The sequence below is a fragment of the Homo sapiens genome, chromosome 11 (genome assembly GCF_000001405.40).
Source record: "Homo sapiens chromosome 11, GRCh38.p14 Primary Assembly".
Classification (NCBI taxonomy): Eukaryota; Metazoa; Chordata; class Mammalia; order Primates; family Hominidae; genus Homo; species Homo sapiens.
This window is the reverse complement of record NC_000011.10, coordinates 9,477,435-9,495,430: the sequence shown is the minus strand read 5'-3', so window position 1 is coordinate 9,495,430 and position 17,996 is coordinate 9,477,435. Positions and strand designations below refer to the sequence as shown.

The 17,996-nt window shown below is 42.4% G+C and overlaps 1 protein-coding gene across 21 annotated transcripts in view; it reads right to left on the bottom strand.

Moving 5' to 3' along the window:
• ZNF143 (zinc finger protein 143) overlaps window positions 1-17,996 on the bottom strand; it is a 67,513-nt gene that overhangs the window by 33,094 nt on the left and 16,423 nt on the right. For all 21 annotated transcript variants that reach the window (XM_047427553.1, XM_047427557.1, XM_047427552.1 and 18 more), the window contains 3 exons: window positions 16,845-17,041; window positions 15,885-15,959; window positions 666-785 (listed from right to left, as the gene is read on the bottom strand). In XM_047427553.1, the coding sequence (XP_047283509.1) occupies window positions 666-785; window positions 15,885-15,959; window positions 16,845-17,041 (392 nt within the window). The remainder of the gene's footprint in view (window positions 1-665; window positions 786-15,884; window positions 15,960-16,844; window positions 17,042-17,996) is intronic.

The following is a 17,996-nucleotide window of genomic DNA, read 5'->3' as shown; positions in this document are numbered from 1 at the left end:
TTCGCTCTGTTGCCCAGGCTGGAGTGCAGTGGTGCAATCTTGGTTTACTGCAACCTCTGCCTCCCGGGTTCAAGCAATTCTCCTGTCTCAGCCTCCCGAGTAGCTGGGATTACAGGCACCTGCCACTGCGCCCGGCTAATTTTGTATTTTTAGTAGAAAGGGTTTCACCATGTTGGTCAGGCTGTTCTTGAACTCCTGACCTCAGGTGATCCACCCGCCTCGGCCTCCCAAAGCACTGGGATTACAGGCATGAGCCACCACGCCCAGCCTTAGCCCAAATATTTAAAAGCCAAATTAACACCAACTTTTGCTAGATTTCAGTGAATTAACAGAGATGTGTGATTACACACATATCTCTCATATAATTAAATGGATTTCATACTTGACAACATATATTCAAATATGTAGAGTACCTACCATGTGCCAGGTAGTATCCTGGACATTAGGAATACAGAGATGAAAAAAACACAGTCCAAGCCCTCAAAAAATTAACAGTCTCTAAAGTCCGCATAGGTTTTTACATGTCTGTGTATGAGTGTGACCAAGTGCCAGTATCTTGATAACTGGGAGAAAACAGTGGCATTTGAATTACACAAAAATATGATCTTAGTATTTAATATCCTAGGTATTCTCATAACTAGATAGAACATTTCTTTTATATATACCTTGAGATGATGAGCTGTTGTATATAATTTTCCACATCCATCATATTCACATCGAAATGCCTTCTCTCCACTCTGTTGAGATTTAGCAGTTACTCTTGTAGCATGTCCTTGTAAAACAATCTAAATAAAACAAATAGTATTACTTAAATTACTTAAGCCAGGCACAGTGGCTCATGCCAGTAATCTTAGCACATGGGGAGGCAGAGGTAGGCGGATCATTTGAGCCCAGGAGTTCAAGAGCAGCCTGGGCAACATGACAAAACCCTGTCTCTATACAACAAAATATTACAAAGTTAGCCAGGTGTAGTGGTGCATCTGTGGTTCCCAGGTACTTGGGAAGCTGAGATGGGAGGATCACCTGAGCCCGGGGAGGTCAAGGCTGCAGTGAGCTGTGATTGTACCATTGCACTCCAGCCTGGGTGGTGGCAGAGTGAGACCTGTCTCAATCAATCAATCAATCAATAATACAGAAATAAAACAGATAAATTATGATTTTCAGAATTAAAAAGACAAAACTGTTATGTGGGTTTCCAATCTCAGGTCATCACTTTATTAGGACTCTTTCAGCCTGAGTCGGTCAGGTTAATTCCATTGCATGGTTGAAGTCAGTGACTCTGAAAGTACAGTAGTCAAAAGGACAGTCACAGAAATACACAGCTGGAGCTCACAGATCTATTCCTACTCTAGAAAAACAACCTAAGTAGCATCTTCACTGGATGCAGGTATTCCTTAATATACTCAAGTGATCCATCTACCTGCCTTTTTTTAGAACCTGTGTCCCAAAAACAATGTCAAAAGTGTTTTCAATTTCAAAAGCAATGAGAAAGGGGTAGGTCATTTCAGTCACCTAAAGGAAACATTACAATCCATATGATACTACTACTCTGTACTTATATTCACTAGAAGATCATTTTTCTGGGATGTAATAACATAAAAATCCAAATGCTGATTTTTAAAGGCTTTTTAAAATAGAAATTAAGGTATCATAAAAATGGAAGAATGACTTTCTACTCTGTGAGCCATGTGGTGACAGTGTTGCAACATCCTATCTCTGCAGACTGTCACACATGGCATATAATTCTGGGTAATGACCTACTACAATTACACACATCCCAGAACGGTAAAGGCAGAGAAAGGAGGAGTTACAGAGGCTAGAATAATGGTGGGGGAGTTGAGAAGTACCCTGCATTAGATGACAAGAATATAGAAAGACTTTGACTTTTCCTTGTAATATAAATCAACTAAAAAACAAGCAGTAGAGATCTCAGTGTAATTGTTAAATTACAAGCTATTTATTTTGTCATCCCCATACTGTATGTTCATTAAATGTTGCAGACCATAATTTTCTGAATAAAGGTAGATCTGTTGATAAAATATTTGTATAAAAGTATGCATAGGCCAGGCGCAGTGGCTCACACCTGTAATCCCAGAACTTTGTGAGGCCGAGGCGGGCGGGTCACAAGGTCAAGAGATCGAGACCATCCTGGCTAACATGGTGAAACCTCATCTCTACTAAAAATACAAAAATTAGCTGGGCATGGTGGTGCGCGTGCCTATAGTCTCAGTTACTCGGGAGGCTGAGGCAGGAGAATCGCTTGAACCTGGGAGGCGGAGGTTACAGAGAGCCGAGATCATGCCACGGCACTCCAGCCTGGAGACAGAGTGAGAATCCGTCTCAAAAAAAAAAAAAAAAAGTAGGCATAATTCCCAATGGGCAAAAAGAAAATGTTTATTATAGACTGAAAAGTGCCTATACAAAGAATAATATAATTCCACATTTTTTCTGGCTAGAAAATTCCATCTCCCTACTTCCATGAGGCCTGTTGTCATCATTCCAAACACAGATGATTCTTCAATTCCTCAGCAAACCTGTGATATATAGCTTATATCACTGGTGTGAAACTTTAATCAACTGTCTTGTTGTAAAGACATTTATGTTTCCTTTTCTTCCCTATTAGTCTATCAGCTACTTGAAGTCAAGAACTGTGTCTTATATGCCTTCATAACTCACAGTGCTAGGTTCACCCTGAAAATGTCACAAGATTTATAAAAGGATTCATACCACTAAAATATATGAACAGAATTACAAGAAATTTTTCTTTTCAGGGGTATTTTTAAAGTTCTAAAATTAAGATTGTGATAATTGTTCAATTTTTTCAATTTACTAAAAACCACTCAGCTGTACACTCTAAATGGGTAAATTTAAAGTGTGTAGGCTGTGCCAGGCGTGGTGGCTCAGACCTGTAATCTCAGCACTTTGGGAGGCCAAGGTGGGTGGATCACCTGAGGTCAAGTTCAAGACCAGCCTGACAAACACAGTGAAACCCTGTCTCTACTAAAAATACAAAATTAGGGCTGGGTGCAGTGGCTCATGACTGTAATCCCAGCACTCTGGGAGGCCAAGGTGGGTGGATCCACCTGAGGACGGAAGTTCGAGACCCGTCTTGCCAACACAGCGAAACCCTGTCTCTACTAAAAATTATAAAAATTAGCCAGGCGCTGTGGCATGTGCTTGTGATTCCAGCTACTAGGGAGGCTGCGGCAGGAGAATTGCTTGAACCCGGGAGGCAGAAGAAGCAGTGAGCCAAGATCACGCCACTGCACTCCAGCCTGGGAAACAGAGCAAGACTCCGTCTCAAAAAAAAAAAAAAAAAAAAAAATTAGCCAGGTGTGGTGGCGAATGCCTGTAATCCCAGCTACTTGGGAGGCAGGAGAATCACTTGAACACAGGAGGCAGAGGTTGCAGTGAGCCAAGATTGTGCCATTGCACTCCAGCCTGGGCAATAAGAGCAAAACTCCATTTTAAACAAACAAATAAATAAATAAATAGTATGTAGGCTGGGCACAGTGGCTCAAGCCTATAATCCCAGCACTTTTGGAGGCCAAGGAAGGCAGATCGTTTGAGATCAGGAGTTCGAGACTAGCCTGGGCAAATGGTGAAACCCCATTTCTACAAAAATGCAAAAACATCAGCTGTGCATGGTGGCACCTGCCTGTAGTTCCAGCTACTCAGAGGACTGAGGTGAGAGGATCGCGCGAGTCCAGGAGGTTAGGCTGCAGCGAGCTGTATTTGTGCCACTGCAACGCATCCTGGGTGACAGAGTGAGACACCTGTCTTTTTTTTTTTTGAGACGGAGTCTCACTCTGTTCCCCAGGCTGGAGTGAGGTGGTGCGATCTCCGCTCACTGTAGCTCCGCCTCCCAAGTTCATGCCATTCTCCTGCCTCAGCCTCCTGAGTAGCTGGGACTAGAGGCGCCCGCCACCATGCCGGGCTAATTTTTTTGTGTGTTTTTAGTAGAGACGGGGTTTCACCGTGTTAGCCAGGATGGTCTTGAACTCCTGACCTCGTGATCCGCCTGCCTCGGCCTCCCAAAGTGCAGGGATTACAGGTGTGAGCCACCGCGCCCAGCCGACACCTGTCTTAATAAACAAAAAAGTAATACAGAAATAAAATAGAAAAAATTACAGTGACAAAGCAAGACCCTGTCTCAAAAACTTAAAAAAAAAAAAGTATGTAAAATGTATCTTTTTCTTGTTTCATTTTAAGAGACTGGAGTCTTGCTATGTTGTCCACACTAGACTCAAGTTCTTGGGTTCAAGGAATCCTCCGTCTCAGCTTCCTGAATAGCTGGGACTACAGGCATGTACCACTGTGCCCAGCTAGTATGTGAAATATATCTTAATAAAACTATAAGAAATGGGAATCAAATATTATTAGAACAAAATTTTCTTAGGCCAAGTGCAGTGGTTCATGCCTACAATTCCAACACTTTAGGAGGCCAAGGTGGGAGGATCGCGTGAGCCCAGGAGTTTGAGACCAGCATGGGAAACATGGGGGGAACCCCATCTCTGCAAAAGATAAAAAAATAGCTGAGTGTGGTGGTATGTACTTGTGGTCCCAGCTACTTGGGAGGCTGAGGTGGGAGGATCACCTGAGCCTGGGAGGTCAAGGCTGCAGTAAGCTATGATCGCCCCACTGCACTCCAGCTTGGGCATCAGAATGAGATCCTGTCTCAAAAAGATCAGTTTCTGTTTATTGCTCATGAAAACAGAAGAGCCTCTATGAACCCTTTAAAAATCAACTATTATTTTAATAACTTCATTTTTTTTTCATGTATTATAACAGCAACACATGTACTCTGGAGGAGTCTGGATACCATAGTGAAGAACAAAAAGTTCTACCAGGCACGGCAGCTCACGTCTGTAATCCCAGCACTTTTGAGAGATTGAAGCAGGTGGATCACTTGAGCCCAGGAGTTGGAAACCAGCCTGGGCAACATGGCAAAACCCCATCTCTACAAAAAAAATATAAAAATTAGCTGGGCATGGTGGTACGTGCCTGTCATCCCAGGCTGTCATCAAGCAGGAGGACTGCTTGAACCCAGGAGGTTGAGGCTGCAGTGAGCCAAGATTGTGCCACTGCCACCCAGCCTGGGTAACAAATGAGACCCTGTCTCAAAAAAAAAAAAAAGCAAAAAAAAAAAAAAAAGCTTAAGTGTGTTATAATTCCACCATCCAGGGAAAATCACTGTTAACTTCTTGGTCTACTTCCATTCAGTATTTTTTATTTTTATTTAATTTAGAGACAGGGTCTCACTCTGTCACTCAGGCTATAGTACAGTCGCACAATCACAGCTCACTGCACCCTCCAACTCCTGGGCTCAAGTGATCCTCTTGCCTCAGCCTCCCACGTAGTTAGGACAACAGGTGAGTACCACCACACTCAGCTTGTTTTTAAAAAAAAAATTGTAGAAATGGAGTCTTGTCATGTTGTCTAGGCTGGTCTTGAATTCCTGGCCTCAAGCAATCCTCCTGCCTCAGCCTCCCAAAGTGTTTGGATTACAGGTGTGAGCCACCATGCCCAGCCCAGTGTTTTTTAAATACATATACAAGTGTAGAGTTTTATTTTAGTAGAATTGGCATCAAGCTTTATATGATTTGTAAAGGCAGATTTCAATTGAAGACTCCAAATTAAGAGAAAAGGACTCTTCTTCCTATTCTCTTCCCCTCCTTTCTAACAGCACTATGAAATGAAAGTGCTTACCAGCTTTCCACATCTGCCAAACTAAGCCCAGCTGCTCACACCTTCAGACTAGGTAGCGGCAGCAAATAACTCCAGAGAGACTCATATCTGAATCTTTTCTGTTATTCTATTGCTTCCTCCTAGGCCAATTTATTAGGAGCTTCGATTCTGGTATGAAACATATACCAGGAATTTGGCATCTAATTTAGTTAAGCCAACGAAACAATGTTGAATTCCTAACCAATGATGAGTATTGGACATTTTTTCCAAAAATGTACTTGTTTTTGCTCCCATTCTTAATGTCTATAGTGGAGACTTTAAGAACTTAGGGTAGTAAAATAAGGGTCAGAAAATTCAGTTTAGGGAGAACTACTGAGGTCTCTGAATGTGTGCCTGTGGGGTGGGGACATGGGTGACAACAGCAAGGTTTCTTATTTCTAAGCCAGCTGAAGTCACTAGCATTTGGCATGCTAAGAGAATTATAAGTAAGGGCAGTGTCCAACAGAATTATTTCCACTAGTATCTAATTACTCAAAACAGACCTCTCTTAAAGGCATTCTCACAAAGTACAGTAGGATGAATACCTGTACAAACACCCAACTAACAAAAGGAACCTCTGGAAAGAAAACTACAAAAATAGCAATGACCTACAGTATACAGTAGTTGGAAAAATAAAAGGCCAGGGAGACACAGTCAAAAAGCCATTCTGGCTTTTACCTCAATGCATAGAGTATTTGGGTGTGATAGGATTCCCTCCCCTTGTATTGGAAATGTTTCCTTGCAAAGATCTTTATCTCCAATCTAGGCTAACATTTACCTTCTCAATTCCCAAATAAATCTTTTTTTTTTCTATTTGGAACCTGCTTTGCACTACTACCTTCTTATTCTATTTCCAATTAACTACCCTTTATACCTATCCCTCCATCATAACTCCCTACCACTTCCTATCACAACATTCTAAAATAATAAATATTTAATAAATGATTGGCAAAATACCTACTTTCTAAAATGATAAATAAAATACTGTTCCTGCCTTTGTAGGGCTCTCAGTCTAGCTAGTAAAACTGTGCTATTAATGAAGGATTATAATAGAATATAATAATTGTTATCACAGGAGTCTATGAAAAGATCTAACAGGGCAAAATGCAAAAGTAGGGAGATGTAGGTTAGGGCAAGCTGTCTAGGGGTGAAATTTGAAGACTGAAGAAGAGGACTGGGGAGTGCTGTCTAGGCAGAAGGAATAGTATGGTCAAAGGTTTGGAGTGTTATCTAGAAGAAGTGGAAACAACATGAGAGTATTATGTTTACATAATAGAATGAGTTTCATGAAAATGAAAGTGTAGGACCAAGTTTGTGAAAAGCAATAAATACTACCCTGAACAGCAAGCCTAGACAATGAAAGCCAAAGGAAGGTATTAAAATATTTTAAGTAAGGGACAAGCCAAGATCACCTCTGTGTTTTATTCTAATTAGTTAATTAATTAATTTTTTTCAAGACAGGGTCTCGTTCTGTTGCCCACAATGGAGTGCAGTGGTGCAATCTCAGGTCACTGTAACCTCCGCCTCACAAGTTGAAGCAATTCTTGTGTCTCAGCCTCCCCAACGGCTGGGACTACAGGTATGTGCCACCATGCCTGGCTATCTGCGTTTTAGAAAGAGAACTACAGTAATAGCGGGGAACAGACTGAAAAGACAAATGAGGTAGGGAGCCCAAAAGAAGTTTGTATAATCATAAATATGCAGGAAAGAAGTCATAAAAACAAACCTAGGATAATGACTGTGGAATAGAAAGCAATAGCTGATTCTACAGATGTTTTAGGGGAAAAAATGGACAGAATCCAAAACTCAAAAGCTAAATTAAAAGACCAAAACTATAACAGGTATTTCAGGGTTATGCAGCATGAGATATGTGCAGTCTCTGTCAAAGAAACAGCAATCTGATATGTCATCACAAGTGAAAACTCTCAAGGGCAATTTTGAAGCTAACACCAGTGAAATACTAATCAGCTTCTAAAAACCATGTATAGAAAATGACTTCACTGGTATTTAAACTTAATGTATGTTCTGAGAATTAAGACATAACCTTGGCCGGGCGTGGTGGCTCACACAGTGGCTCCCAGCACTCTGGGAGGCCGAGGCAGGCGGATCATGAGGTCAGGAGATCGAGACCATCCTGGCTAACACGGTGAAACCCCATCTCTACTAAAAATACAAAAAATTAGCCAGGTGTGGTGGTGGGCGCCTGTAGTCCCAGCTACTCAGGATGCTGAGGCAGGAGAAGCATGAACCCGGGAGGCGGAGCTTGCAGTGAGCTGAGATCATGCCCCTGCACTCCAGCCTGGGCAATAGAGCGAGACTCCGTCTCAAAACAAACAAACAAACAAAAAGACATAACCTTAGCTCTGCCATAAACTCACCATGTAACGTTGTGCAAGATACATAGGGCCTATCTGCCTGTCTATAAAGGACATACTGTGGCCAGGTGCTGTGGCTCACGCCTGTAATCTCAGCACTTTGGGAGGCCAAGGCAGGCAGATCACTTGAGGTCAGGAGTTCGAGACCAGCCTGGCCAACATGGTGACACCCCATCTCTATTAAAAATACAAAAATTAGCCAGGCGTGGTAGCAGGCACCTGTATTCCCAGCTACTCGGGAGGCTGAGGCAGGAGAATTGCTTGAACCTGGGAGGTGGAGGTAGCAGTGAGCCAAGATCACGCCATTGCACTCCAGCCTGGGTGACAAGAGTGAAACTCCGTCTCAAAAAAAAAAAAAAAGGGCCAGGTGCAGTGGCTCACGCCTGTAATCCCAGCACTTTGGGAGGCTGAGGCAGGTGGATCACGAGGTCAGGAGATCAAGACCATCCTGGCTAACACAGTGAAACCCTATCTCTATTAAAAATACAAAAAATTAGCCAGGCGTGGTGGCGGGTGCCTGTAGTCCCAGCTACTCGGGAGGCTGAGGAAGGAGAATCGCTTGAACCCGGGTGGCAAAGGCTGCAGTGAGCCGAGATTACACCACTGCACTCCAGCCTGGGTGACAGAGTGAGACTCTGTCTCAGGGAAAAAAAAACAAAACAAAACACATTGTTCTAAGTCAATAATGTTTTTTCTTTTCTGAAGGAGTCAAACGTCTTTCGCAGATAAAATCTTACATGGCATTCTACTGTGTAAAACACACAGAAAAAGGAACTGGAGCTGCTGGCCTTGGCAGATGAGGGTGGATCAGAGATCTGCTAGTCCCTGACAGGATTCCTGATACCTCAAAAAACAGGGCTTTTATATATATATAATATATATAATATATTATATATATAATATATATAATATATATTATATATATAATATATTATATATATTATATATATAATATATTATATATAATATATATATAATATATATATAATATAATTAGCGCCTAGGACCATTATATTCTAAGGAGGTGCAAATTCCAGAGGTAGATACAAGACTGGAGCTAAGATTAAATTCCAAGGTGACCTCATAATAAAGAGGCTAACTGACATTTATTGAGCAGTTGCATTTATGTGATGCACTGTGGTGGCTGCTTTACGTACACTGTCTAATTGGCCCCCATGGCTATCCAATGAATTCAATATCAACTATGATTTACAAATAGAAAAAATGAGACTCAGAGGGGCTTAGTAATGTAACTTGCCCATGGTCAAAAGCTGGGAAGTGAGATTTGAAGGAGTTTGGCTCTAGAGCTCAAGCTATTAACCAACCAGGTTTCAGGATGCTGTAGTCCAGTGGAACCTAACTGGCAGAGCTTCTGTAATTATAGAGTGAGAGACTCAGTAGGGTTGAGGATAAACATTGCATTGTATTGTCTGGTTTAGTACTTATAATCCCATTTACTGTAACGGCCTAATGCACATGGCAGCTATAACTTACAATCTGGTGTTTGTTAACTTGTATGATGTAAATAATCTATATTCTTGGGGGAGGATAAAATAAAAACAACTTGAATTTTTAAAAATGTATTCTCTTTGAAGAAAGGAAACAATCCTAGAAGTGTGGCACCAGAGGAATTTTTAAAGAACCATGAGACACATCAGCACTGCCAGGAAGATTAAGAAACAAAAACAAGGCCAGGCACGGTGGCTCCTGCCTATAATCTTTGGGAGGCCAAGCCAGGTGGATCACTTGAGGGCAGGAGTTCAGACCAGCCTGGCCAACATGGCAAAACCTTGTCTCTACTAAAAATACAAAAACTAGCTGGGCATGGTGGTATAAGCCTGTAATTCCAGCTACTTGGGAGGCTGAGGCATGAGAATCACTTGAATCTGGGAGGCAGAGGTTGCAATGAGCCAAGATTGTGCCACTGTACTCCAGCCTGGGTGACATAGCGAGACTTCTCAAAAAAAAAAAAAAAAAAAAAGAGAGAGAGAAAAAAACAACAACAAAGCAGATTTCTAACAATAATTACTATCAGGCAGTAGATCCCTCACTTTTTATTTTTACTAATCTATACTATTTGGATTTTCTAAACATAAACATGATTACTTTTATATTTAAAAATATGTAAAATAGATACGTAGAGTAAGATTACGGGTCATTTTGGGTTTTCTTCTTTGTACTTTACCTGAATTAAAAAAAACACTAAAAATATTATCTTAAAAAATCTTTGGCGGCCGGGCGCGGTGGGTCACGCCTGTAATCCTAGCACTTTGGAAGGCCGAGGCAGGCAGATCACGAGGTCAGGAGATGGAGACCATCCTGGCTAACACAGTGAAACCCTGTCTCTACTAAAAATACAAAAAATTAGCCGGGCGTGGTGGCGGGCGCCTGTAGTCCCAGCTATGCAGGAGGCTGAAGCAGGAGAATGGCGTGAACCCGGGAGGTGGAGCTTGCAGTGAGCCAAGATCGCGCCACTGCACTCCAGCCTGGGCGACAGAGCTAGACTCCGTCTCAAAAAAAAAAAAAAATCTTTGGCCAGGTGCGGTGGCTCACGCCTGTAATCCTAGTGCTTTGGGAGGCTGAGGTGGGTGGATCACTGGAGGTCAGGAGTTCAACTGGGAGGTGGAGGTTACAGTGAGCCAAGATCAGGCCATTGCACTTCAGCTTGGGCGACAGAGTGAGACTCCATCTCAAAAAACAAAAAATAAACAAAAAAAAAAAAACACCAAACTTTTGCCCCTAAGATAACCATGGATCTAATTAATACCTTTCTTTTAGAGGTAGAAAAAAAGAGACTTAGAAAAGCAAGGTTCAGGCTGGGCACGGTGACTCACGCCTGAAATCCCAGCACTTTGGGAGGCCGAGGCAGGTGGATCACTTGAGGTCAGGAGTTTGTGATCAGCCTGGCCAACAAGGTGAAATATAAAAAACATTTTTTTAAATATTTCTTTAACAAAAATATAAAAAATTAGCCGGGCATGGTGGCACGCTCCTGTGATACCAGCTACTCAGGAGGCTGAGGCAGGTGAATCAGTTAAACCCAGGAGGCAGTGGCTGCAGTGAGCTGAGATCAGGCCACTGCACTCCAGCCTGGGCAACAAAGCAAGACCCTGTCTCAAAAAACAAAAACCACAAAAAACCAAGTACTAGGTTCTCAACCTTAAATACGGTAATTAATCATTTTAGAGAATGGTGAAGTCATGAACTTCTGATCCAGCACTAATGAAGAGAAATATAATAAGTCACAAGTGCAAGCCACATATGTGATTAAAAATTTACTGAGCTGGGTGTGGTGGCTCACGCCTGTAATCCCAGCACTTTGGGAGGCTGAGGCGGGCGGATCACGAGGTCAAGAGATTCAGACCATCCTAGCCAACATGGTGAAACCCCCTCTCTACTGAAAATACAAACGTCAGCTGTGCATGGTAGCATGTGCCTGTAGTCCCAGCTACTCGTGAGGCTGAAGCAGGAGAATCCGCTGAACCCAGGAGACGGAGGTCACAGTGAGCTGAGATCATGCCACTGCACTCCAGCCTGGTGACAGAGTGAGACTCCATCTCAAAAAAAAAAAAAAAAAAGAATTCCGGCCGGGCAAATTGGTTCACACCTATAATCCCAGGACTTTGGAATGTCAAGGCAGGAGGATAACTTGAACCAACACTGCACCATTGCACTCCAGCCTAAGCGACAGAGCAAGACTCAGTCTCAAAAAATAAATAAATAAATAAAATAGGGGTCAGGCATGGTGGCTCACACCTGTGGTCCCAGCACTTTGGGAGGCCAAGTGGGCGGATCACAATGTCAGGAGTTCGAGACCAGCCTGGCCAGCATGGTAAAACCCTGTCTCTACTAAAAATACAAAAAATTAGACAGGCACGGTGGCATGTGCCTGCAGTCTCAGCTACTCGGGAGGCTGAGCAGGAGAACTGCTTGAACTGAGCAGGTGGAGGTTGTAGTGAGCTGAGATCGCGCCACTGCACTCCAGTCTGGGTGACAGAGCGAGATGCCGTCTCCAAAAAAAAAAAAAAAAAAAAAAAAAAGGCATGTTGGCTCACACCTGTAATCCCAGCATTTTCAGAGGCTGAGGTGGGTTGATCACTGGAGGTCAGGAGTTCGAGACCAACCTGGTCAACATGACGAAACCTCATCTCTACTAAAAATACAAAAATTAGCTGGGTGTGGTGGTGCATGCCTGTAATCCCAGCTATTCGGGAGGCTGAGGCAAGAGAATCATTTGAACCCAGCAGGTGGAGGTTGCAGTCAGCCAAAATCACATCACTGCACTCCACCCTGGGCAAGAGAGTAAGACTCCATCTCAAAATACATAAATAAATATAATAATAAAATAAAACAAAAAATCTCTAGTAACCAATTGAAAAAAATTAAAAGAAACAGGTGAAATTAATAGTAATTATTTTGTTTAACACAATATGTCCAAAATATCATTTCAACGTTATCAATATAAGAAATTATTGATATTTTACATTATTTTTATCGTACTATGTCTTCAAAATCCACTTACAGCACATCTCAATTTGGACTAGTCATATTTCAAGTGCTTAACAGCCACATATGGCTAGTGGCAACCGTATTGGACATTGCAGATCTAGTCTGTAAGGAAGAGGTACAAAAGGCAAAGGAGAAAAAAGCTACAGTAAAAAAAAAAAAAAAAGAATCCCATTCAGTAGTCTTCTATTTGTCTACTGGTACCAATACCAAATGGTAATATGTCTACAGATAAAGAGTAATGGGATTTTTTGGCCGGGTGCGCTGGCTCACGCCTATAATCCCAGCACTATGGGAGGCCGAGGTGGGCGGATCATGAGGTCAGGAGATCGAGACCATCCTGGCTAACACAGTGAAACCCCATCTGTACTAAAAATACAAAAAATTAGCCAGGCATGGTGGCGGGCACCTGTAGTCCCAGCTACTCCAGACGCTGAGGCAGGAGAATGGCGTGAACCCGGGAGACGGAGCTTACAGTGAGCCGAGATCGAGCCACTGCACTCCAGCCTGGGCGACAGAGCGAGACACCGTCTTAAAAAAAAAAAAGAGTTGGGGCCGGGTACAGTAGCTCACGCCTGTAATCCCAGCACTTTGGGAAGCCAAGGCAGGCAGATCATGAGGTCAGGAGATCGAGACCATCCTGGCTAACATGGTGAAACCCTGCCTCTACTAAAAATACAAAAAATTAGCCGGGCGTGGTGGCGGGCGCCTGTAGTCCCAGCTACTCGGGAGGCTGAGGCAGGAGAATGGCGTGAACCCGGGAGGCAGAGCTTGCAGTGAGCCAAGATCGAGCCACTGCACTCCAGCCTGGGCGACAGAGTGAGACTCCACCTCAAAAAAAAAAAAAAGAGTAATGGGTTTTTTTAATGACATTTTGCCTCAGCAGTTCTGAATTCCTAGTTACGTTTTGAGTTCTGAAATTTTTTTTTTTTTTTTTGAGACAGTCTCACTCTGTTGCCCAGGCTGGGGTGCAGTGGCACAATCTTGGCTCATTGCAACCCCCACCTCCCAGGTTCAAGCGATTCTCCTGCCTCAGCTTCCCAAGTAGCTGGGATTATAGGCGCACACCACCACACCCAACTAATTCTTGTATTTTTAGTAGAGATGGGGTTTTGCCATGTTGGCCAGGTTGGTCTCAGACTCCTGACCTCAGGTGATCCACCTGCCTCGGCCTCCCAAAGTGCTAGGATTACAGGCGTGAGTCACTGGACCCAGCCTACAACTGCTTTTCTTTAAAATATTCTATTATTTTAAAATGTACTTGTCAGTTACCAATAAGACAGAGAACTTATTGGGCCACTCCAACACTCCAAGCCACTGACCTATAACTCCCGCACATATTTACCCTGTGTTTGCATCTTAGTAGAGGTTGACTTAGGTGGATTTGACATAGAACTGTATAAAAAATACTGAAGTCTCATTTTTTGGGAGGTGGGGGAGAACAGGGTCTTGCTCTGTTGCTTAGGCTGGAGTGCAGTGGCACAATCAGCTCACTATAACTTCAAACCACGGGCTCAAGGGATCCTCCTGCCCTCGCCTCCCAAACAGCTGTGACTACAAATGTGTGCCACCATGCCTTGCTAATTTTGTAATTTTTTGTAGAGATGGAGTCTCACTTTGTTGCCCGGGCTGGTCTCAAACTTCTGGGTTCAAGCAATCTTCCCACCTCAGCCTCTCAAAGTATTGTGATTACAGGTGTGAGCCACCACACCTGCCTTAAAGTCTCATTTCATTCACAAAATATGAATATGAATTGAGACCTGAAAATTTTGCTACGAATCACACAGCATCAAAGCTGATGGGCTTAGTGAACTGAAAACTGTGTTTATTCTATTGCCACTTTGTAGCATCACTTCAGCTGGTAAACAGAAATATTGGCTATTCAGCAACGCGTAGAAGCATAATATTTCTTTTTCTTTTTTCTTTTTTTTTTTTTTGAGACAGTTTCGTTCTTGTTGCCCAGGCTGGAGTGCAACAGCGCGATCTTGGCTCACTGCAACCTCTGCCTCCTGGGTTCAAGCGATTCTCCTGCCTCAGCCTCCTGAGTAGCTAGGATTATAGGCACTAGCCACCACACCTGGCTAATTTTTTGTATTTTTAGTAGAGGCAGGGTTTCACCATGTTGGCCAAGTTGGTCTCAAACTCCTGACCTCAAGTCATCCATCCGCCTCAGCCTCCCAAAGTGCTGGGATTACAGGCATGAGCCACCACGCCCGGCCAGAACCATATTTCTACAAGTGATTTCAGTGATTCCTGTTATTTTATCACTTACTATTAATATAAATGTAAAATCTTCTTGATAACCCCTAACAGTATCACTCAATGTCACTAAGTGGTCATGTTAATGCTCAAGGTTATAAATGTGACCCTGAGTAGTAACTTTAGGAGTTAAATATAATAAAACTCTGAAGAATGAAAAAAAAACTACTATAAAGGAACAGTCAACAAAATATTAGAGAAAATTGCTGAGAAAATAAAGAGCAGCATTAAAGCAGGAATGTACTACAATGATTATACAAGCTCCAAGCATACCCTCCACACGAACATCCCAACACAAAAACAATTCTTGAATAACATAAGTTTTGAATTTTTGATTGTAGGAGATATGCAAGAATGCACCTGGGACTACTTTGTACTTACTACAAAACTTTTAGAAGCACTGGTGCTCTGGGCTGTTACTTAGGTAAGGGGCAGCCAATGACTGGACCCAGGGTGAACATTTGAACCACGGGAAGCCAGCCCACAGGCCACCTGCAGACCAGGAAGCAGTCTGGTAGAAAAAGTATAAACAGCTTTGTCCAAGATTAACTAGGCTGGACTCTCCCTTCAGAAGTTGAAAAGGAAAATATGGAGGGAATCAGCTGGAAGAAGAAGAAATTTAAAAATACAAAAAGCAAAGCAGTGAGGATTATTTAGAAAGAGTCATGATGAAGTCCCAGAAAAAGTATCCACAAATTGCCATGCCATGGGTGGGGGCAGTCAGGAAGTCACCTGGTCTCCACAACTGCCTTGTCCAGAAAACTGCCTTGGAATCCAGCACACAAGCTTCACCTGGATTTCTGTGATACTTCCATTTCTTTAGCATCATTTTGCATCCACCAATGAACACTGGGACCTCAGGCAGTTTGAGAAAGCTGCTGCCCAATACATACATTGTTTTTCTGAACTGGTGAGATTTTCCTAGAGAGGTAGTGAGTTACCTATTCTTGCTTTCATCCACAGAAGGGCACAGAAATGCTAAGCTAGATTTTTATATTAAAAAGTAGCTTTACATACCTGCATTTTTTTCTCTTGCTCATTTTCTCCAATCATTCCAGTACCTGCTACACTTTCACTTCCATCAATGGACACCTATAGGAATAAAATAAAGCTTTAAAATGTTTTACATTTTGATAATGGTTTAGGCTGGTTAAGTACATGGTTCAGGGAGAAGCTTGCAAAAAAAAAGAAAAAGAAAAAAAAGTACATGGGGCTTCATTATCATTTATTTTTGTGTATATTTGAAAATTTCCATAATAGGCTGGGCATGGTGGCTCATGCCAGTAATCCTAGCACTTTGGGAGGCTGAGGCAGGAGGATCATCTGAGCCCAGGAGTTCAAGACCAGCCTGGACAAAAGAGCAAGACCCTGTCTCTATTTATTTTGTTTGTAAAGAAAAAAAAAAAGAAAATGTCCCTAACAAAAGTGAAATAAAACCTTTTAAGTTATATGAGAGATACATGTTCAATGCAGGGGAAAAAAAAAATCAGCTCTTTTGATATAAAACTTGAGACTTTACTTTTCCTAATCTATAGTTCCTACTTCTTAATTCATAAGCAGTTCCATTTACACTTTATTATTTCTTTTATAGCCCTTCATCCTCGTATATCTTTCGGTGAATTACCTGCCACTCATTTCTCTTCTATAAGTCTTTACTCCATTCCCTTTTTTTTTCCAATCTTTCCACACTTCACTTAAGATAAATGCTGATCTCTTTGATACTAACTGATTTTGACTTTGAGTTGCTAGTGTCTTTTTTTTTAATTTCTGAATTTGAGACAGGGATCTATGCTCAAACAATCCTCCCACTTTGGCCTCCCAAAGTGCTGGGAAGTTATAGGCGTGAGCCATCACGCCATGCCCAGCCAAAATTGGCCAGGTTTTTTTTGATGAGGTGTACTTTTTTGTTTTCTTTTCTTTTCATGAAAAATAAAGAAGCTATATCTGCAACATTCTTGACATTGTGAAATGCTATACCTTTGCTGCATACTGTTCCAAAGCACTGATGGTGTCAGGGTCAATTGTAGCATCCCCAGTGTGCAGACCTGCCACTGTCCCATCAGCCTGAATTGCCAAGATGGTGTCAGACTGCGGGACTTGCACTGCATGGTGGATATAAGCTGTGGTACCATCTTCCAGCTGAACCGCCTGTAATGCACTCTGGTCATAACTATCTGAGAGAGTGGAAGAGAATGCCATTAAATTAAAGGTAAAATCTGACAAATATTTACATATTTAAAGGAAGAGAGAAATGAGCTTTTATTGAGTAGTTACTCTGAGTACTGGACCACGCACTTGATATGTGTTATTTCATTTAATCCTCACAATAATTCTGCAAGGCAGGTACATTTACTGCCTTCATTGTATAAATGGGAACTCAGGTTTGGAGAAGTAACATCACTTTCCTTAGCAATCAGAAAATTTAAAAAACATTAACAGGCCGGGTGCAGTGGCTCAAGCCTATAATCCCAGGACTCTGGGAGGCCGAGGCGGGCGGATCACGAGGTCAGGAGATTGAGACCATCCTGGCTAACACGGTGAAACACCCTCTCTACTAAAAATACAAAAAACTTAGCAGGGCACGGTGGCACGCGCCTGTATTCCCAGCTACTGGGGAGGCTGAGGCAGGAGACTCACTTGAACCTGGGAGGCAGAGGTTGCAGTGAGCCAAGATCGTGCCACTGCACTCCAGCCTGGGCGACAGAGCCAGAGTCCCTCTCAAAAAACAAACCAAAAACAAAAACAAACAAAGAAAAAACACTAACAATTAACAGTCAAAATCAATATGTAGAGAAATCAGGATTTGAACTCATGTCAGTATGACTCCACAGTCCCTCCATGGTGGTTTTTTCCCCTCTAAATGTCCACACTAAGATATATCTATATCTATACTGGTATTGATATAAAATAGTGATTTTATATCGATATATATATAGAGATAGTGAAATAATAAATCTAGCCAGTTACAATGAACCTGTGACTAACTCTTATTGATAAAGAAAAAAGTGCGGCCTTTTGTGGTGGCTCACGCCTGTAATCCCAACACTTTGGGAGGCCAAGCCAGGCGGATCACAAGGTCAAGAGATTGAGACCATCCTAGCCAACATGGTGAAATCCCATCTCTACTAA